Raw genomic sequence first — 23,514 nt, 5'->3', positions numbered from 1 at the left:
ATAGGCAATATTCAGTTAAAAGTTTATTGCCTATCCGCTGTCATTCCTGACTGGAGCATTATTTTCTATGATGGTCCTGTGAGCCAAGACATTGTTTCTTAGATGCTCATTTACCTTGGCTGTGTGGTGGCTCTATTTCAATGTATTCGAATTAAGACATGAGTTGTTGGGAAAGAACAAATAACAGAACCTTTGCCCCTACTGAAGCATCAGCTGATTTTCAGTTTCATCTGGTAACCAGGAAGGTTACCAGATATTCAGTATTGTAAAAGGGAAAGCAGTTTATTTATTTGAAATATTATTATTTTCAAATGTTGGCTCACTATTTAAAAAAAAAGGGTATATGCAAAACATGTAAAATCTACATGAGGATTGCTATTGGTGCCCAGGATACTGGTTCACAATATCTGACACTTTATTGCATTTTCAGGTATTGGAACGTTAATAAAGTGCTGCAATATTTTTTCATTTAACACTGAAAAAATTAACTTCTTTGTGATAATATGAATGCTACGATTCCTCTTACAAGCTGTAGTACATGTTTCTTGAGTTTCTATTATTGGTCTCACTAGCAGTCATCTGTTATAGTAATCTGTTAATTAAGATTAAATGGTTCTGAGGAGTGACTTTCATTTCCTCCCATCTATAGCTGTACTTTCCTGGCAGAATCTATAGCTTGTTTTTCAATGAGAAGATTTTTTTTAAAATACTATTCAAATTTTCATTCAATCATGATAGATTTAATCCATGGACATCCCTCTGTTCTCTCTAAAATTCATCACAGAAACAGCAATGGAATAATAAAAACATTTTGATCTAATACAGAAAGAAAAGAATAGTGGACAAGAACAAGAGAGGTCAACATATTTTTTTGGAAGATGAAAAGAGGAGCATGAATGTAATAATTAAATAATTGACACAGCAGAACAAGGAATGAAAGCAAGTGCCTGTAGAGGAGAAGCCAATTAAAAGCCAGCTGCTCTGCCTTACAGAAACTAAGAAGGAAATCATTGCAGGAGGAGCCAAAGTAGGTAGGGGTGAGAGTAGGGGCTGAAAACTGGCATGATGGTTTAAAACATTACAAGGAACAGACCTCTAGTTTCCCTTTGCAACTCTTTGTTGGCCGAAATCACCAATATCCCATTTCTTCAGGAGAAACTGAATGTGAGACTCAGCAACATAAGATGTTGAGGAACTTTGCTGCAAATGATGTGTAAGTGAAAGGCAGCATACTGAATGTTGATACCCTTCCTGCAGCGCTGTCCCTGGCCCAGTCCATAGTAATCTAATAGTTAAAGATGCAAATCTTCAGATAAGAGACTATAGGACTCATCTCTAGAAAAACTGAAAGGCCCTTGGTGGGGAAAAGATGTGCAAATAGCGTAACTTTGCAATGTCTTAATGAAATACAAGGCAATGAAATACATGGTAGCAAGCTACCATGAGCTCTCTCACATACATATCTATATCAATAATCTTTTCAGAGTCTCACTTGAAATGCAAATGTTAAGTATCATCAGATACTTAAAAGAGAACACCCAACATAAAAAAACAAAGGAAATTAGAAGGGACAAAAAACAATGCGAGAAACAGGCAAAAATCTCAAAAGGCTGTCATTAGTGTGCTTAGGGAGATAAAATAATGAATACTATGAGAAAAAGAACATTTAGAGCATAGAAAATAGCCTTTGAAAGTTAAATATGTAAGTCAGAAGAAAAAGGGATTACAGAAAGGTGAGACAAGAAGTTGATGAAATTTTCCACAAAGTATAGCCAAAAAAAAAAAAGAGATTGAATACTGAATTGAACAAAAAGATAATTAGAGCCCAAGTCTAGGAGGCCAACTATCCGATGATAGTGTTCTCAGAAATGGAAAACAAAGAAAATGAATGGGGGTATAATGTACAAATAAAAACAGAAGAATGTTTCTCAGAATCCAGGTAGAAAGGTGTATGTATCATTCAGAAAAATCATTTAAAAAACTAAAGAAAGAGCACAACTGTGAAATATCGGATAGCCAAGGACATTTAAACTTGTTTGTGTATGTGTATGTGTTGTGTGTGTGTGTGTGTCTCTGTGTACCTGTGTCTAAAAGAGAGACACAGAGGCAGAGGAATTAGAATACTGAGCTTCTCAAAGGAACTCTCTGAAGGTCACTGTAATGACACCTTCAAAATTCTGAGAAAAATATTATAATTAATCTATGGAAAATATTAACCTATATAGAATTCTTTGTGCAACCAAATTATCAAACATGGCAATGACAGAATAAATATATTTTCTAATGTGTAAATTTTCAGGAAATTCCTCTCTCCCTTGTACTGTTTCTCAGGGAGCTCTTAGATGAGGAGCTTAATTTTGAGAAAAGAAATCTGGACTGTAAGAAACATGGGATCAAGCACACAACAGAATAGAAGGAATTCCAAGAATAAAGATAAAGGAGCATTCCCATATGGAAGATTTCAACATGAGAAGCAAGCAACGTGGCTAAAATGGATTGACAGAATGGAGAGTTTCAAGAGGTAGCTGTTGTGGAGAAAAGTGTTGGTGATAGATTATCTGATGCATTTTACAGATTGAAGATAGTATTGAAAGCAGTTGTATCAGTTAAGAAGTGGCAGGTTTACATAATTTTAAAAAACCCAGCAAACAGCAGCTTTAAGTAATAAAGGATTATACGTCTCATGTCTCACACAACAGTACTGGATAGGAGCTAGACACTCTAGGTCTCAGTATCATCAGAGACTCATGCTTCTTCCAGCATTATGCCCTGATGTTTTAGTTTGCAAGGGCTACCATAACAAAGTACCACAAACTGGGTGACTTAAAAACAGACATTTTTTGGTCTCAGTTCTAGAGGGTAGAAGTCCAAGATCAACACTGGGTCTTTCTGAGGGCTGTGAGGGAGAATATGTTCCATGCCCCTCTACTAGCTTCTGGTGGTTTGCTGGCAATCTTTGTCAATCCTTGGCTTCTGCTGTATTACTCTGATCTCTGCCTTCATCTTCACATGGTGTTTTCTCTCTATGTGGGGATCTATGTCCAAATTTCAACTTTTTATAAGAACACCAGTCATATGGGATTAGACGCCCACCTTTAACTAATTTTATCTACGATGAGCCTGTCTCCAAATAAGTTCACGTTCTGGTACTGGCAGTTAGGAGTGAACATATGAATTTGGGGGTGGGGTGGGGAAGGGTACAACTCAACCCATAACACCTGACATCCCAAGAGTATAAATATTGATCTCCTTATTGTCTCATGGTTACAAACACAGTCAGGCATCTAATTCACTGCTTTAAGCAGGAAGACAAAAAAAAAAAAAAAAAAAAAACCGTTTGCTTTAGACAGGAAGGTAAGAAAGCAGAAGGTCAAAGAAGTACAAAAATCAAATCTCACATTTTACAGAAAATTCTTGGAAGGTCTACCCAGTAAGTTCCACCTACACGTCACTGCCAAGGACTGGGTCATATTACAATGTATTCTGTGAAGATGAGAATTTGTTTTCTAGACTCTAAATTAAAGAAAGCGTAGGAGGAGAGGACTTAAAAGAGTTTTGGTGTATTCTATCTTTAGTGTCCTCTACAAAATTTTAAATTTTTTACTGCCAATTTGGGAAAAAATAGCATTACATATATAGAAAATTAAGTCAATGAAAGAATGATGACAAACTATTGACTCTAGGGAAAAATGATTTTACAAGGAAATAAATGTAATTGTAGTGCACTACTTAAATTCTAGTTACACATTCATAGTTATTTTAAATTAAATATTGACTTGATTTTTGATATAACTTCAGGAGATGGTGCAAGAAAAAGTGCAGCATACATATGACTTTGCTTAGAGTTCTAAATCTTTATCTTTCACAGGATAAATAGGTAAATACTCAAAATTGATAACTTGAAAAAATAGCAGCATAAAAATCATGAGAAATCTGAAGTTAAATATTTGAGGAAAAAAGAGTTTAAAGAGTTAAAAGGAGGTGGCTTTATGGGGACAAACTGTAGAGGTTGGTGGGGGAAGGCGCCTGTGTATTTCTGTAAGACTTGTGATTTTTATATTACATATTTATGGATTACTTTGATGAAAATAAGCTTCATTTAAAAACCGTCCTAGTTAAAATACTATGTGGGGTGGGTATTTGGCTATTGTAACCATAATCCTTCCGTTAATTTGCACAGCTGGCTTGTTGAGGACCCCCTTCTTTATCCCCTCTTTCATGGTTTCTGCTTAGGTACTGGAAGTGGAAACTTTCACCCTTTAAAAGTTCTGAATAGGGTTTTATGTTTGGGGGAATCAGAGACATTATGCAGACCTTGAAATTGAAAGTGGTAAGTTTCACTATTACTCAGAACAGCAAACCTGGGCTTTCAATAGGAGTCCGGGTTAGAGAAGTCAACTGACTGTTTTTAACCAGTGAAACTAGGCATATGAATTTGTATAGCATCAAGTGGGAAGAGAAAGAAGGAACAAACAGTCAATGCTTCATAATCACATCAGGACATCCCCTGTAGAATCTTAAAATACTTCAATCTGTATCACTACTCAGCAGAAATAGCATAGTGATTCTAGAGGGAATGAGATAAACACAGCATGGCCTTATTACATGCCTTAAGCTATAAATCTTTCAAAGAAGTCTCTTTGCATGGGATTCTGCTACTTCAACGTAGAAGATAAATAGCCAAAAGAAAATATGCTGCTTTAAGTTAACATTTACATAACACAAAGTCAAACAATGAACACAATTTATTCATTTTATTTCATTTGATAAAAAGAAATTCTTCAATGTTCTGCGGTTTGTTAATTTATTCTAGAACACCACAGGCAGAGGCCTTCAATTTGTGTACTATACTTCTATACATTTATTAAGTAACAGTTATAAAATTATAGCTTTATTTTATCATAATATAGCTCACAATAATCTGAGACCAATCAAATGAAAAAGCTATAGATATTTTTGTCATGATTTTGCTGCATTATTCCTTCCAGCACCATTCCAGAATAAAGTCATGAATGTTTGTGTATTTATTTAAATATTAGAAATTTTTATATTCGAAGATATTTCTCTGCAGTTTCTGTTTAAACAAAACCCGACACTAAAAATAACTGCCCAAGGATACTTGAAACTATTATAACTGAGACATCAAGGTTGCTTTCCCCATGAAGAACACAATATATACTATTTAAATTGCGTAAGATTTTTAAAGGAATATTTTATATTTTCTTCTATTTAAAGAAGATTGAATAAAACATAATAAAACAAAGGAATTCTATTTTATTTATATTTACATTGAGCCTTACAGAAAATTTACTGTATAGTTAGTCAGTACAGTTATATTTTAAAGGTTGATTTTCTTTGAACTCATACCTTGGATTGTTTGATCAACTGTATTTAATGAAAGACAGACTCATTCATTCATCCATTCATTCACTGAACAGGTGTTTATTTTACACCCACTATATGCTACACATAAATTTTATATAAAGTTTTTGAGGAGGTGAATATATACGTTATTTAATTTAATCCTGAACACAACTTTTGCTAAATGCCTGCTGATTGCTAAGCACATTGCAAGCCACTGAAGATACTTTCCTGAATTTACAGCATTGGGAAGACAGACAATTACAATAATTTACTGTGAGAGGAAGGTCAGGGTCCTAAGAGAGAGCACAGAAGTAGTAGCTGAATTCAAGGAATTAGTGAATGCTTTCCTGATATAGTGATGTGTAATCCCTGAACTGGCAGATTGCTAGGGTATAGCCCAGCAGAGACACGTTTAGAAAAACGTTTTCTAAGCAAAGGACACCATAAGTGTAAAGATAAGTGATGAGAGAATGCTGAAGGGTAGTTTAGTGCTCAGAAAAAAAAAAAGTTTGGGAAATCTGGAGCATTTAAGTTCATGGGACACAGTGTTAGAAATGAGGCTGATGTGGTGGGTAGTTGCTGGGAAAACTTAAAAGAATTTGATGTTTATCCTGAGGGATATGAGAAACCCATTTTCTTTGAAGTGTTTTAAGTTGAATATAAAGATAAGGAAAATGGCACATATTTTTTAGAGGCCTATCACTTGCTACATGGCAAAGTGATATTTTCTTTAAGGCTGACATACAATGATTTTGCCCTCTGTGCTTGCCACCAGAGGTTTGGCTACAACTCAGCTTCATGTCTTCCCTCTGCTCAAGAAGTCTTCAACTCCTGTGTGTTTCCACTGACCCTCTTGCTCCACAAACTGAGCAGCTTGGGAACACTTGACAGGTTAGTTCTCACATAGAGGCAGACACTTCCAAGAGAACACTAAGGAAGATACTTTCTGTGTTTTAAAACTCTTAGATACAACATTGAAACCTTCTCTTTACTTAGTTCCCCTATGTAGAGTGGACAACAAGACTTAATTTTAAAATTTAATTATTTATTTTTGAAAATTTAAAAGAAAGCCTGTTATCTCAGCACTTTGGGAGGCCAAGGAGGGAGGATCACTTGAGCACAGGAATTCAAGATCAGCCTGGGCAACATTGGGAGACCCTATCTCTACAAAAAATAAAAAGAATTAGCTGGTGGCACATGCCTGTAGTCCTAGGTAATCAGGAAGCTAAGGTGGGAGGATCTGCTTGACCCGGGAGTAGAGGCTGCAAGTGAGTTGTGATCATGCCGCTGCACTCTAGAATGGGCAACGGAGTGAGATCCAGACCCTGTCTCAAATAAACAAACACAAAGAAAATTTAAAGGAAGTACAAACGCAGAAAAAGACTGAAATAAGATCCCACACATTCATTTTCAGCTTTAACAATTATCAATGAATCACCAGCTAGTTTTACCTATACCCACCCAACGACTTCTTGCCATCCTGCATTATTTTATAACTGATTTCTTCAACAACTTTATTAAGATATAATACATATATACCATAAAATTCACTTGTTAAAAGTATACAAATCAATAATTTTTAGTTAATGAATAGAGTTGGGGAACCACACCACATTCTAGTTTAAGAACATTTCCATTATCCCCAGAAGGTTCTCCAAATTCATTTGCAATATTCTACACTCACTTCCAGCTCTAGGCAACCACTGATCAGCTTTCTGTGTACATATTTGCTGTTTCTAGATATTTCATGTAAATGGAAGAGTGCAACATGCACTTCTTTGCACTTGGCTTCTTTTATTTAGTATAATATTTCTGAAATTAATTCATGTTGTAGCATAAATGAGTACAGCATCTCTTTATTGCTGAACAGTGTTCCATTGCAGAGATATATAATATTTTCTGTATCTTTTATTAGTTGTGGACATTTGGATATTAAGAATAATGCTCCTATGAACATTCACATTCACAACTTTGTGAGAGAATGTGTTTTCATTTCTTTTGGGTATCTTCTTAAAAGTCAAACTACTTATTTGTATGTTTATTTAACTTTATAAAAACCTGCAAAATTGTTTTTAAAGTGGCTACATCCTTTTACATCCCTGAGCAATGTTTGAGAGTTCTAGTTTCAACATGAACTTGCCAACACTTGGTATTATCTCCCTTTTTAAATTATAATCATCCAACGCATGTATAGTCGTGTTTTGTAGAGTTTTACATTTTTATTCCTCTAATGGTAAGTATCTTTACACTTAGGCTTAGCAGTCATTTATATATCTTTTCTGATGAAATGCCTACTGAAATACTTTGCTCACTTTAGAATGCTTGATTGTCCACCAAATTTCTTCTCTGAAGAAAGTGCTCTTGCTAGTCTAAATCCTTTGAATATTAATACAAATGTTACGAACAGTATACCAATTTCTACAAAATACTTTGCTGAGATTTTGATAGAGGTTTCACTATATTTTTGTTTCTTTGTTTGTTTAGAACAGTAGTAGAATTTATTTACAGTCATGTACAGCATAATGATGTCTTGGTCAAGGACAAACCACATACATGATGGTGTTTCCACAAATTTATAGTAGAGCTGAAAAATCTATATTGCCTAGCGATGTCATAGCCATCTTAATATCATAGCACGTTTGTGCTATGTGTTTGTGGTGATGCTGGTGTAAACAAACCTACTGTATAACACATACAGTTATGTACAGTACATAGTACTTGATAATGAAAATAAACAACTATGCTACTGGTTTATCTGTTTACTATACTATACTTTTATCATTATTTTAAAGTGTACTTCATGTACTTATTTTTTAAAAAACTGTAAAACAGTCTCAGGCAGCTCCTTCAGGAGGTATCCAAAAGAAGGCCTTGTTGTCACATGATATGAAAGTCCCATGTCTGTTATTGCCCCTAAACACCTTATAGTGGGACAAGATGTGGAGTGGAAGACAGTGCTATTCATGATCCTAACCCTGTGTAGACTAGGCTAACGTGCTTGTGTCCTAAACTTTTATTTTTTATTTTATTTTATTTTTTATTATACTTTAAGTTTTAGGGTACATGTGCACAACCTGCAGGTTAGTTACATATGTATACATGTGCCATGTTGGTGTGCTGCACCCATTAACTCGTCATTTAATATTAGGTATATCTCCTAATGCTATCCCTCCCCCTTTCCCCCACCCGACAACAGGCCCTGGTGTGTGATGTTCCCCTTCCTGTGTCCACGTGTTCTCACTGTTCAATTCCCACCTATGAATGAGAACATGTGGTGTTTGGTTTTTTGTCCTTGCAATAGTTTCCTGAGAATGATGGTTTCCAGCTTCATCCATGTCCCTACAAAGGACATGAACTCATCCTTTTTTATGGCTGCATAGTATTCCATGGTGTATATATGCCACATTTTCTTAATCCAGTCTATCATTGTTGGACATTTGGGTTGGTTCCCAGTCTTTGCTATTGTGAATAGTGCCACAATAAACATACGTGTGCATGTGTCTTTATAGCAGCATGATTTATAATCCTTTGGGTATATACCCAGTAATGGGATGGCTAGGTCAAATGGTATTTCTAGTTCTAGATCCCTGAGGAATCGCCATACTGACTTCCACAATGGTTGAACTAGTTTACAGTCCCACCAACAGTGTAAAAGTGTTCCTATTTCTCCACATCCTGTCCAGCACCTGTTGTTTCCTGACTTTTTAATGATCGCCATTCTAACTGGTGTGAGATGATATCTGATTGTGGTTTTGATTTGCATTTCTCTGATGGCCAGTGATGATGAGCATTTTTTCATGTGTTTTTTGGCTGCATAAATGTCTTTTGAGAAGTGTCTGTTCATATCCTTTGCCCACTTTTTGATGGGGTTGTTTGTTTTTTTCTTGTAAATTTGTTTGAGTTCATTGTAGATTCTGGATATTAGCCCTTTGTCAGATGAGTAGATTGCAAAAATTTTCTCCCATTTTGTAGGTTGCCTGTTCACTCTGATGGTAGTTTCTTTTGCTGTGCAGAAGCTCTTTAGTTTAATTAGATCCCCTTTGTCAATTTTGACTTTTGTTGCCATTGCTTTTGGTGTTTTAGACATGAAGTCCTTGCTCATGCCTATGTCCTGAATGGTGTTGCCTAGGTATTCTTCTAGGGTTTTTATGGTTTTAGGTCTAACAGTTAAGTCTTTAATCCATCTTGAATTGATTTTTGTATAAGGTGTAAGGAAGGGATCCAGTTTCAGCTTTCTGCCTATGGCTAGCCAGTTTTCCCAGCACCATTTATTAAATAGGGAATCCTTTCCCCATTTCTTGTTTTTGTCAGGTTTGTCAAAGATCAGATGGTTGTAGATATGCGGCATTATTTCTGAGGGCTCTGTTCTGTTCCATTGATCTATATCTCTGTTTTGGTACCAGTACCATGCTGTTTTGGTGACTGTAGCCTTATAGTATAGTTTGAAGTCAGGTAGCGTGATGCCTCCAGCTTTGTTCTTTTGGCTTAGGGTTGACTTGGCAATGCAGGCTCTTTTTTGGTTCCATATGAACTTTAAAGTAGTTTTTTCCAATTCTGTGAAGAAAGTCATTGGTAGCTTGATGGGGATGGCATTGAATCTATAAATTGCCTTGGGCAGTATGGCCATTTTCACAACAGCATGGAATGTTCTTCCATTTGTTTGTATGCTCTTTTATTTCATTGAGGAGTGGTTTGTAGTTCTCCTTGAAGAGGTCCTTCACGTCCCTTATAAGTTGGATTCCTAGGTATTTTATTCTCTTTGAAGCAATTGTGAATGGGAATTCACTCATGATTTGGCTCTCTGTCTGTTATTGGTGTATAAGAATGCTTGTGATTTTTGCACGTTGATATTGTATCCTGAGACTTTGCTGAAGTTGCCTATCAGCTTAAGGAGATTTTGGGCTGGTATTATAGATCAATTTTGGGAGAATTGCCATCTTGACATTTAGAGTCTTCCAATCCATAAACATGTAAAGACTTTTTATTTATTTAGACCTTTAATTTTTCTCAGCAATGTTATGCAGTTTTTAGTGTACCTGTCCTAAAACTACTTCTTTTATTGAACTTGTCCCTATATAGTTTATTCTTTGTCATATTATTATGAATGGAATTGTTTTATTTTCATTTATGTACTAGTTGTTGTAATATATAAAAATACAACTGATTTTTTAATATTGATCTTGTATCAAACAACCTTGCCAGATTTGCTTGTTACTTCTAGTTGATTTGGGGGAATTTCTTTTGATTTTCAATATACAAAGTCAAGTCATCCAAAAATAATAATTTTACTTATTTTCTAATTGGTACACCTTAATTTTTTATTTGTGTGTTTTACCTTATTCCATGGCTAAGATCTCCAATGCATTGTTGAAAAGAAGTTGTGAGAATGCAAGCATTCAGTCTTTAACATTTATGTATAATGTTAGCTCTGGGTTTTCTCATGGTTGTTTTTCATCAATTTGAGAAAATTCCCTCATATTCCTAGTTTATTAAGTTTTTTCCATGAACGGATGTGAGATCTTTGTCAAATGCTTTTTCTGAGTCTTTGAGCTGACAACCCCTAATTACTTTTGCTGCTTATATATGTAATGATTTTATCAGAAATATATTTTAATAATGTTATTTTACTAATTATTTTAGATGTATATTTTGATTTACCTGTATATTATAAATTTGTATTGGAAGGAATACCATCTTATGCTTTTATACCTCCTCTAATTCTAATCAAAGTGTTATTTATAAAGTTATGCTCAGTTACTATTACTTAGAAATAATACTGTGGAATCAATATTTAGAGTTGAAAGAGAATTTGAATATTAGCTAGTTCAAAGCCACACTATCTTAAGATGAAACTGAAGGTCCAAGATTTAATTTTTTTCTCTCAAATTTACTATTAAAATTAAGATCTTATTGATTAGTATCCGTTAGTTTTATGCTCCCAAATCTTTTAAGCTTGGTGTGTGGGGTTGAATTAACATTAACTTGAAATAATTAATTTAGAATTCTTAAATTAGTTGATAGCTGGTTCTTAGGAATTAGTATAACAGTGAATAACTTGGAAGTAGAATTAAGAGGTATTTTTTTTTTGATAAGGTTTTGCTGTGTCCCCACCCAAATATCATCTTGAATTCTCACATGTTGTGGGAGGGCCCGCTGGAAGGTAATTGAATTATGAGGGCAAGTCTCTCCCCTGATGTTCTCATGACAGTTAGTAAGTCTCATGAGATCTCATAGTTTTAAAAAGAGGAGTTCCCCTACACAAGTTCTCTCTTTGCCTGCTGCCATCCATGTAAGCCATGACTTGCTCCTCCTTGCCTTCTGCCATGATTGGGAGGCCTCCCCAGCCACATGGAACTATAAGTCCAATTAAACCTCTTTCTTTTGTAAATTGCCCAGTCTCAGGTATGTCTTTATCAACAGCATGAAAATGGACTAATATAGTAAATTGGTACCAGTAGAGTGGGGCATTGCTGAAAATGTAGAAGTGATTTTGGAACTGGGTAACAAGTAGAGGTTAGAACAGTTTGGAGGGCTCAAAAGAAGACAGGAAAATGTGGGAAAGTTTGGAACTTCCTAGAGACTTGTTGAATGGTTTGACAAAAATGGTGATAGTGATATGAACAATAAGGTCCAGGCTGAGGTGGTCTCAGATGGAGATGAGGAACTTGTTGGGAACTAGAGCAAAGATGACTCTTGTTATGTTTTAGCAAAGAGACTGCTGGTATTTTGCCCTTGCCCTAGAGATGTGTGGAACTTTTAACTTGAAAGAGATGATTTAGGGTATCTTGTGGAAGAAAATTCCAAGCAGCAAAGCATTCAAGAGGTGACTTAGGTGCTGCTAAAGGCATTCAGTTTCATAAAGGAAGCAGAGTATAAAAGTTCAGAAAATTTGCAGTCTGATGATGCAGTAGAAAATAAAAACCCATTTTTTTGAGGGGAAATTCAAGCCAGCTGCAGAAATTTGCATAAGCAATGAGGAGCCAAATGTTAATCCCCAAGATAATGGGGAAAATTGTCTCCGGGGGATGTCAAAAGGTCATGGCAGCCCCTCCCATCACAGGCGAGGAGGCTTAGGAGAAAATGGTTTCGTGGGCCAAGCCCAGGGTCCCAGTGCTGAGTGCAGGCTAGAGACTTGGTGCCCTGTATCTCTGCCACTCCAGCGATGACTAAAAAGGGCCATAGTACAGCTTGGGCTGTTGCTTCAGAGGGTGGAAGCCCCAAGCCTTGGCAGCGAGTCTGCGGGTGCACAGAAGTCAAGAATTGAAGTTAGGGAACCTCTGCCTGGATTTCAGAAGATGTGTGGAAATGCCTGGATGACCAGGCAAAAGTTTGCTACAGGGGTGGGGGCCCTCATGGATAACCTCTGCTAGGGCATTGTGGAAGGGAACTGTGGGGTCAGATCCCCCACACAGTCTGTACTGAAGCACTGCCTAGTGGAGCTGTGAGAAGAGGGCCACCATCCTCCAGAGCTCAAAATGGTAGATTCACTGACAGCTTGTACTGTGTGCCTGGAAAACTCACAGACACTCAATGCCAGCCCATGAAAGCAGCCAGGAGGGAGGCTGTACCTGGAAAGCCACAGGGCCAGAGCTGCCCAAGACCATAGGAACCCACCTCTTGCATCAGCATAATCTGGATTTGAGACATGAAGTCAAAGGGGATCATTTTGGAGCTTTAAGATTTGACTGACCCACTGGATTTTGGACTTGCTTGGGGCCTGTAGCCCCTTTCTTTTGGCCAATGCCTCCCATTTGGAATGGCTGCATTTATCCAATGCCTGTACCCCCGTTGTATCTAGGAAGTAATTAACTTGCTTTTCATATTACAGGCTCATAGGCGGAAGGGACTTGCCTTGTCTCAGTACAAATACTTTGGACTCTGGACTTCTGACTTAATGCTGAAATGAATTAAGATTTGGGAGGACAGTTGGGAAGGCATGACTGGTTTTGAAATGTGAGGACATGAGATTTGGGAGGGGTCAGGGGCAGAAAGATAAGGTTTGGCTGTGTCCCCACCCAAATCTCATCTTGATCCCACATGTTGTGGGAGGGACCAGGTGGGAGGTAACTGAATCATGAGGGAAGTCTTTTCCCTGCTGTTCTCATGACAGTGAATAAGTCTCATGAGATCTGATGGTTTTAAAAAGAGGAGTTCCCCCACACAAGCTCCCTCTGTCTCTTTGACTGCTGCCATCCATGTGAGACATCACTTGCTCCTCCTTGCCTTCGGCCATGATTGTGAGGCTTCTCCAGCCATGTGGAATGATAAGTCCATTAAACCTCTTTATTTTGTAAGTTGCCCAGTCTCAGGTATGTCTTTATCAGCAGTGTGAAAACGAACTAATACAGTTATTTTCTTGATATGCTTCAGCATTGTTTGAATTTGATAAAACAACCTAGAATATTTTGGGATTTAGTTAATAAGCATATTGTTTTAAGGGAGGAGAAAAAATAAGATGAAACACTATATTTATTTAGCTACATTTTGCTTTGAAAATCTGTCCAGTGTGATTCATACCAGTGTTCATTGACTTCAACTCTTAGGGAATTGGGAAGTCTAGATCTGTGTATAAAAACTGGTAAAACCAATAGGAGTCTTTAATATATCTTGATCAAGACCTTCAAGTTCCCAACTCAAACATTTTTTTCCAAAGTGTTTTGAAGTGAACACGTAGATTCATGTGTTTTTTCATCTGTACATGGGTCTAATCTATTACTTTCACAATTGATTTGGAGCCTAGGTATGTAGCAAAATTTAATTAATTAATTAATTAATTGGAATTTAAAATAGCATAGTTGTCCCTAGAATGTTGTTCCTGTTATATGAAGGGAGATATCTGAGGTAGTGTTTGGTACTGGTTTTATTTAAACATAGTTAATAGTGATTTTCTTCAAAATTCAGGGAATGAAAAGGATAAAGTGGCAGAGATCAACGTAAATTTGCAAAGAGCAGAAATGCTAAAATCAGGAGATTAATAACTGATGTGTATCTGACTTGATTTTGTTTATTTACATAGAAACAGAGGGATAAACTCCAGTTAAAAGGGGAAAGTAATATACGTTTAAATCAGCATAAGTTTCTAAATTTCCCCAAGCAAAGTATTATCTAGAATTATTTTGATAGTCATTGAACTTCTTTATCCTACATGGCAATTGAAATGATCAAGGATTTCCAAAAGGATTAGAAATATACTTGAGTTTTCAGTTCACACCATTGATTCCAGATTTGTCATTCTTTCATGGTATATTTTGCTATTTTTAAAATTGGGATGAACAGCTTCAAGTATTTGACACAATGGTTTTCATAAAATGCAATTATGAGGTAGCAGATCGGCTGTTGAATGAATCAATAACCTGATTTTATTTGAATACTTACATTTAAAGTCTTTTATCCCCAAAACATGATGTATATTCAAAAGGTACACTGGTACATAAAAGATGTTATAAATGTACCTTGCCTTTTAAAGTAGCTGATGCTGTATATAAATCTTTCTCAGAAAACCCATTAGTGTTTCCTATTTTGGTTAGCTAGATAGTGATAAAATCCCACGGGACATTTATACTAACAGTGGTTTTTTTTTTGACGATTTTGGCTGATAGACTCGCAAAGAGTGAAATTTAAAAAGGAAAGTGATCTTATTTCCTAAAGGAATGGAATTATCATTTATATTTCTTATTCAATTTATCTATGCTAAATATGAATCATTTAGTAGATGCCATATAAGGTGGTAGCTTGTAGCGACAAAAGAAAATGTGTATAATTCCCACTGATAACTAAAAAAAAAAAAAAGAAACTTCTCACATCATAGGCAAATATGGCACTTTTAAATTTTAAATTGTAAAGTATTTATAAAACCAACACACATGCTCATCAGAAAGACAAGATTATTTACGAATGTAAAAATCCTAAAATGCATTTAATCATGTAGTCATTATTATGTAGAAGAGGGAAAAATAGACTTATGGGTTAGATAAATGTAAAATTTTGAAAGCAACATGTAAATGTTTTTAAGAAGAATATGCCTTTAATGTATATCTTCAAGACCTTATCTTTGTTTTCCAGCATAGCATAACTTTATTGTTTAGTACACATTTACTAATTCATTATAATAGAAATAAGCCAAGAAAATTGTGATATTAAATGATCAGAGACCATGTCTCGTGTATTTGTTTAGCATAACATATTTTTAAAGGATTTTAAATTTTATGCATTAGGTTATACACAACTAACCTACTACAGTTCCCATCATTCCCTGTAGTTTGTTAGCCTTTTGCTTCACTTCTTTTCCATACCTACTGGTCCTTAAAAGTATTTGAGTCTGCACTATTGCAGAAGCATGTTCCACCTTGCAAATATGGTGCCCCTAACTTTGGACTATCTAAGTCAGGTCACAAGATCAAGTAGCAATTCACATACATGGTAGTAAAATTAGAATTTTTGGTAAATAAATATTATTCATTTATTTAATTGTCCTTGTCTTTGAATAAATTATAAAAAATTTAAAAATACAATTATGATGATAACATCATATAAGTTCAATTGTTCTATTCAACAAGAAAAGCTCTGAACCAAATACAATCTGATTTTATCACAATATTTTTCTATTTCCTCCACAATGTAACAAAAATGTAAGGTAAGCTTCTATCCTCAAAAATCAAAAGCAGTTTCTCCATGTCCAACCCTCTCAGTGAAAATAACTGGTACTCAAATGTATAGGTATTTGTATGCCATTTACTTACAGATATACACCAGCAATATGTAATATTGCTGTGGGCTGAATTGTGTCTCCTTTAAATTCATAAGTTGAAGTCCTAATGATGAGTGCCTCAGAATGTAACCATACTTGGAGATATGTAAAGAGGCAATTAAGTTAGAATGAGGCTATTAGGATGAGTCTTAATGCATGCTTGTTGGTATCCTTATAAAAAGAGGAAATTTGGATACACTGAGAGACAGCAGTGATGTCTATGCTCAGAGGAATAATATGTGAATAAGTGGACATTTGCAAGCCAAAAAGAGAGGCCTCAGAATATCCAAATCTGCCTATATCTTGAACTTTGACTTTTAACCTCCAGGATTATGAGAAAATAAATTCCTGTAGACTCACAGTTCTACATGGCGAGAGGCCTCACAATCATGGCGGAGGTTGAAGGAGGAGCAAAGTCATGTCTTCCATGGAAGCAGGCAAAATAATGTGTGTAGGGTAACTCCCCTTTATAAAAACATCAGATCTCATGTGACTTATTCACTATCAAGAGAACAGTACAAGAAAAATCCACTCCCATGATTCAATTACCTCCCACTGGGTCCCTCTCATGACATGTGGGGATTATGGGAGCTACAATTTAAGGTGAGATTTGGGTGGGGACACAGCCAAACCATATCAAGGACCCTTGTCTTTGTCATTCCTGGACACATGGCACCTGGGTTCCTAATACTTTTCTTAATGAATGGATGGATGGACGAATGCAGGTCTGCCAGATGAAGCTTCAAGACTGGCTGATTAATTTACCTGGGATAAAGCAAATGTTTGTGGAATTAGTGAAACTTATAAACATGATAAATAACATAGGCTAATATTTCATATGTCTTGATGTTATGGGATAAAGCTTTTAGCCTAAAAATGATAAAGTATGTGACTAGCCAATACTTTGTAATAATTAACCACTTTGAATTATGCCCTTACCAGAATTCCTTCACTTATCCTGGTAAGCTTCAATGCCATAGCTACCACCAATCCATAGGAGTTTCTTCTAGAACAAGAATTTATTTGCCACTCATAGTCGTATAAAGGTTAACAAACTTAGATAAGACTTGAGCTTTTGTTCAGATTATCAGAATCTAATAGTTTATTTCAAGCTAAGACAGTAGCTTCAACAATAAAAGATAGTGACTCAAATGCATTGTGTATAAATATATAATTTAATAATTATGTGATTCTAGGTAAATCTCTTTCAAGAATTAAAAAATTCCGTTTACTTGACTGTTGATTAGAGAGTGAAACTCAGAGGTATTGTTACCTATGATGCATGTACAACAATTTTGTGAGATATTTGAAATTACTTTTTTAAACAACAAAATACTAAATATATGGGCATGCCATTGAGAAATTTACAAAAATATGTAATAGACTTTATGCCTGATTAAAAAAAGGCAAAAGTACTATTTTCACTGCTTAACAAAATTGTCCAATTTAAAAAAGATTTGATATGATAAATTAACAGTACATTCATTAATAAAAATTAGAGGAAAAGCTAGCAGGTTTTTGTGAAGAGTTGCTATGTTTTTACTAGTTAAAATATACTTTTCAGGAGACAGTGGGAGGAATTTGTAAAACAAGATGTATAATCAGAGGTCTAATGTATCTTTAGCAATTTTATGTTTCTGACAACATGATAGCTACATTAAAAATGCAACAAATTTTATGTAAGTGACGTGTCTCAAAATACTTTTTATTAAAGAATTATTTAATAAAAATAATAAAACATTTGGGTATTTAAACATTATTATAACACTTTTAAAACCACATCTTGTGGTCTATAGGCATACATATATTTATGCCACAAAGACGGTAAGAATATGCATTGTAGAAAATAATTATATAAATTCAAACTGAAAAATGAAAGAGATCTTGATACCACCATAGATAAAAAAAACAAATGTATGTCACTGACTTTTGCAAAACCATTCCATTTAAAATGAATGTTTTAAGATAGGAAGAGAAAGAACACCACCTTCAGTGAAAACACATAATAGGTAAAATCTTGTCTAAAACAGTTTACCTCTTGAATTTTCCCAAAGAATTTGATTTTTTTCACTTTATGTTACTTCCTGACATCCAAACTAGTTTGAGCAAAACAGTTTTAAACAATTGTTGCTTTCATTTTCTGTCTTCAGATTCACATCCCCCCTGTTCACTCATCATGCTATGGCAGACTTTTAAAAAACAGAGATCAGGTTATATTATTCTTTGCTCACTAAGCTGTTTCTCCAATGCCTAGAGGATCAATACCCAATTCTTAAACATGAAAAGTTAAGGATTTTTGCAGTTTGGGCTCAACTTGCCTATCTAATTTATTCTCCCACCTTTATCTCATTTGTCCTCTACTCTGGCACACTGGATTAGCAGTCATTTCCTGAGCCTGCCATAGCCCTCCAGCCTGCCCCTTGGAGGATTGTAAAGTGACCCTGTGCTAGCCTGCGGTCCAACATAAATCCACGGGAAACACTCTGGAGATGCATACTACATTCAATTTATTCTCTCTCAACCAACTGTCTGTCTCCCTTTAAGTTTGAATCAGACCCTAGTTATATGAGTCCACTAAGTTCAAAGAAACATAGCAGACTTATCAGTGGTCTCTTTAACATCCCTCTCTAGACAGAAGTGAAGAGAGATGTAACATATCCCTTCACATGAGTTGGGAAGTGGAGACTGATTATCATGAGTAGCAATCAGGCAGTTCTTTCTCATTATTCTCTTCATAAATCCTTCATTACCAGATTTCACTGAAACTGAGAAGCCATTGATTGTAAGAGTCTCTAGTAATTTATATTTCACGAAGAAAAACAATACGCCACCAAAAATAGATCATGTACTATTGATTTTAAGATATATTCTGATTTCAGAGATGTCAAAATAACTATGCATGCTTCCTCTTAGTTAGGGATATGGACTTAAAGGTGGGACTCACAGCCCACTTTTTTCTGAAGCAACTCACTTCCCTAACTCAACAATTCTCGACCCTTTTCATACCCTGGATGGAGTTAGGGGCTTGAGAATCATCTAATTATCTTTTGTGGTCACCTATTTTTGCTACAGTCAAAACCTTGATTTTAACATCTTATTACATATACCTTTTCACACAACAGTACTTCATCCATACTTTCATCTTTTAAGACTCAGCTAAAATATGTCTTTTCCTAGAAAGCTTTCTCTGATCCTCATCTAGCAAACTTCTCACTGCCAGGTAGAATAATCATTTTTTTTAACTTTCACTATTTTTGATAATATTTGTTATAAAACATTTTACTAACTGTGGTTGTGTTCATGTCTGCCCATCCTGTTTTGTGTTTTAAGTGTAGACTACTGCCTAGAACACATGCTCTATATTTGCTGAAAGAGTGAATGCATCAAAGGTTAAAAAAGACAGGAAGCCATCTTGCTGTCTCAGACAAGATCCAAGAAGCTTTGAGTACTTTCTTGTGATCCATACACATCTAGTACTTTAAATGTGCAGATTCATAAAATTGATTTTAATTCATCCAGAAGTGACTGTGCTGTGTGACTACAGACATGGCAAATTAAATTCTAAATGTTGTTTTTTTAAATCTTAAAAATACATTAATTTGCACTGCTAAGTATAACTGCCAAGTGAATAAAAAATTTCACATAACATTACCAGGTAATTCCTTCACTTTTTATAATCTTTACAAGAGAAACAGTTACTACCAGAGGATGTTTGCGAAGCATCAGTATCATTTTTTGACCCTTGTGATTTGGACTTGGTATTTTCTACCATGGATCTTGCTGAAGAAATAGTAACACTTCTAACTAACTAGGTGTTTTTAAAATGTAGATTACTAGTTCTCTACTAGGTCAAAATAACAATTATCCAATTTATTATTATTATTATTATTTTTTCATTTTTTTTTTTGACATGGAATTGTTTATTTTATTTTATTTTATTATTATACTTTAAGTTTTAGGGTACATGTGCACAATGTGCAGGTTAGTTACATATGTATACATGTGCCATGCTGGTGTGCTGCACCCATTAACTCGTCATTTAGCATTAGGTATATCTCCTAAAGCTATCCCTCCCCCCTCCCCCCACCCCACAACAGTCCCCAGAGTGTGATGTTCCCCTTCCTGTGTCCATGTGTTCCAACGATTTTATTGGTTACAGCATTTCAGAAACTCAAATTTAGCAGTTGTGACAAAACCTTCTTGTTAAGAATCCATTTAAAGATTGTTTTTCAGAATCTGATAATGCTGCAAATCATGAGTATACTTCCTTTTATGTTGATTTTTATAGCTGTTAGTTTTAAAGAGAAATCTTTACATTGATAGTTTTTGGTCCTAAATGGAAGGTACATGAGAATACAATGAGTGGTAATTTAAAATTCTGCTCCACAGAGAAGAAAAGAAAAAAGTTTACACTGTTAAGACAGGGTTGCAATATAATTGAGTTTATGGGGTAAAATGACTAAGTACATATTTATACTAAGTAATGGAATGTATTTCTTCACTAAGAAATTTATTGGACCATAGAATAATTTCTCTTAGGAATTTCTGTAAAAAAATTGACTATATTTGCAGTATTGATTTTCTTTCCACCTAAGCAAGTGACTCATTGAATTCTATATTAAGAAAGAAGCAATCCAAGAAAAGCTATGATAAATTTAAAATGTGATTGCATCTTTGTAGGAATAAAAATGATTCACTAGAAAATAAGGTAGACTATGATAAAAATTCTTGGCCTTGTTTTGTTATATACATTCTGTTTTTCATCCAGCCAACCAGATGACCATTCCTAAACCAAAGTAGCTAGTTTTATATTTAGTTATTTATGAATATGTTTGTTATAATTTGAAAAATTGGACCTCAAATAAAGCCATAAAGAAATTTGACCAATTAACTTCCTTGGATGTTTGAATTGAACAATACTGTTATTTTGTTTTAATATTTTAATACATAGGTCAAATCACCATTAAGTTGTGATATTCTCACCAAAAGGCAGCTACATCATGACCTCTTCTCCCCTCCATTAAAAAAAATTCTTTTAATTAGGTTTATAATATATAGATGTTGCTATATATTTTAGATATACTTTGTTTTTGTAAAAACTCATTGGAAAATAAAATTGGATTGCTTCTGAGGTTTTAGACAAGGATGCTATTTTATGTATTTTCTAAGTTACAGCTAAACATATGCCTCCAGCTCGAAAACTCCTGTGGTGACAGCTAGAGCTGGGTAACAGTTCCCCTTACGAAATGAAATATCTTTTGATTGCCTCTGCATGGATTCTCTCTACTATTCTCACATGAGAGATTTTTTTCTTAACTGACAATAAGTATATAAAATTTTACAAAAAGCAAGTTTCTACCATTTTATTTTAAATGAAATTTCAGGAGAAACTATTTTATTGAAAAATGGTAGACTGTATATAAATGAATTGCCATAACCTTAACATCTCTTCCTTTCCCTTCTCCAATGTTTTCATGTTAAAATATCACTGTTTTTATTCCTGAGTGAAAAAGTAATTTCTTCCACAAATGTGTTTCTTGTTTTCCAAAAATGTATTAAATGTATTTTTAAAGATAAAAGGGATACAACATGAAAAAGTCAGTAATCTTGTTGATGAAAAAAATACATATATATACATACACACAAACACATACACACAGACAGAGAGAGAGAGAGGGAGACACACAGTCTTATATACATTCCATCATTGAATTTGGTTCATTTTATTTTGATATAAAAAGTATCAAACCTGTGGAGGCTAAAGCAACTCAATCTTAGATGTTAATCCATGATGTTAACTTCTGATTAACCCCAGTTCTGAGAACATCCCTCAGATTTCTATTTTATCTACTCTTCCTGTGTAAGAGTGCATGCTTACCATAAATCCTGCCCTTACATCAAAACAATCCTGGATGTTATTGTAAATTACCATAAATCCTGCCCTCAAGCATTGTTCTACACATCCCTTCTGAAGCACACGTACCATTTCCTTATGGTATAAGCCCTGGATCCGAGGGGCAACCACACTGGCTTTTGCCATCACATCTTGCCACAACCTGAGACATGGCCTCTGTTCATGAGATCGTACTAAATATTTCTTTCCAAGAAACTGGATTTGTCAGACTCTTTCTTCAGCCTCTCAGCTCCCTTGGTCTCCAGGAAGTAAGTTTCCATAGATCTGCTTACTGTGGGACGACCAACTCTCTCTTTCTGTCCCTGGAGTCACTGTTTATAGAGATAATGGCTTTTGTTCATTATATTTTCTTTGCTTACATGAACTTTGTCTTTCATAAAGATCACATCTTCTTGAAGGTCAACAACCAATCTGTTTTAATACAATATATTACTGACATTCTTGGCCAGTTAAGAAAAAATATGTTCATTCCCCAAAAGTTACACCCTTTTAAAGTAGATACATTTTATATATCTAAACATCTATTTCTGTTCTATGAATAAAACTAGTTGTCAGATATGTAATGTAGTAAGATAATTGTGAGGCACCTTATAGTTTTTAAGAGACCATAATTAAATTAGTACATTTTTGTCTTTTTATTCTCTTATTTTAAAAAGTCTTATTGTCAATATTGTTGTGATAAGTGGATGGAAAACTCTCAATTGTAGACTTAAAATATACAAGAAAATGTTGTAATCCCAGCGCTTTGGGAGGCTGAGGCGGGCGGATCACGAGGTCAGGAGATGGAGACCATCCTGGCTAATATGGTGAAACCCCATCTCTACTAAAAATACAAAAAATTAGCCGGGCTTCCTGGTGGGTGCCTGTAGTCCCAGCTTTTTGGGAGGCTGAGGCAGGAGAATGGCGTGAACCAGGGAGGCGGAGCTTGCAGTGACCCGAGATCGCACCACTGCAATCCAGCCTGGGCGACAGAGCAAGACTCCGTCAAAAAAAAAAAAAAAGTATTGGGGCCGGGCAAGGTGGCTCATGCCTGTAATCCCAGCATTTTGGGAGGCCGAGGTGGGTGGATCACGAGGTCAAGAGTTAAAGACTTGCCTGGCCAAGATGGTGAAATCCCATCTCTGCTAAGAAAAAAAAAAAAAATACAAAAAAAATTAGCCGCGCCTGGTGGCAGGCACCTGTATTCCCAGCTACTCAGGAGGCTAAGGCAGAGAATTGTTTGAACCCTGGAGGCAGAGGTTGCAGTGAGCTGAGATCATGCCACCGCACTGCAGTCTGGGCAACAGAGTGAGATACCGTCTCAAAAAAAAAAAAAAAAAAGAAAAAAGCTTTGGGATTTCTCAGATTTCTATTATGTTAGACAGATGTTTGTTTGTTTTCTGCACTTTAGTGAAAAAGTAAAAGCAGATGTCAGCATGTATATTGTAATTTTTACAATGAATATTGTTATGATTTTCTTCTCATGAAAGAAAATTGAAAGTCAAATACT

General features: G+C 35.3%; 1 annotated feature.

Moving 5' to 3' along the window:
- Positions 4,505-4,654: an enhancer, noted in NCBI's record as "active region_8308". NCBI's record gives its function as "activates an Ori minimal core promoter by ATAC-STARR-seq in GM12878 lymphoblastoid cells {active_cell/tissue: GM12878}" and the evidence as "EXISTENCE:reporter gene assay evidence [ECO:0000049][PMID:35858748]".

This window comes from Homo sapiens, chromosome 14 (genome assembly GCF_000001405.40).
Source record: "Homo sapiens chromosome 14, GRCh38.p14 Primary Assembly".
NCBI lineage: Eukaryota > Metazoa > Chordata > Mammalia > Primates > Hominidae > Homo > Homo sapiens.
The sequence above is the reverse complement of the archived record's forward strand: the minus strand, read 5'-3'. Positions and strand labels throughout refer to the sequence as shown.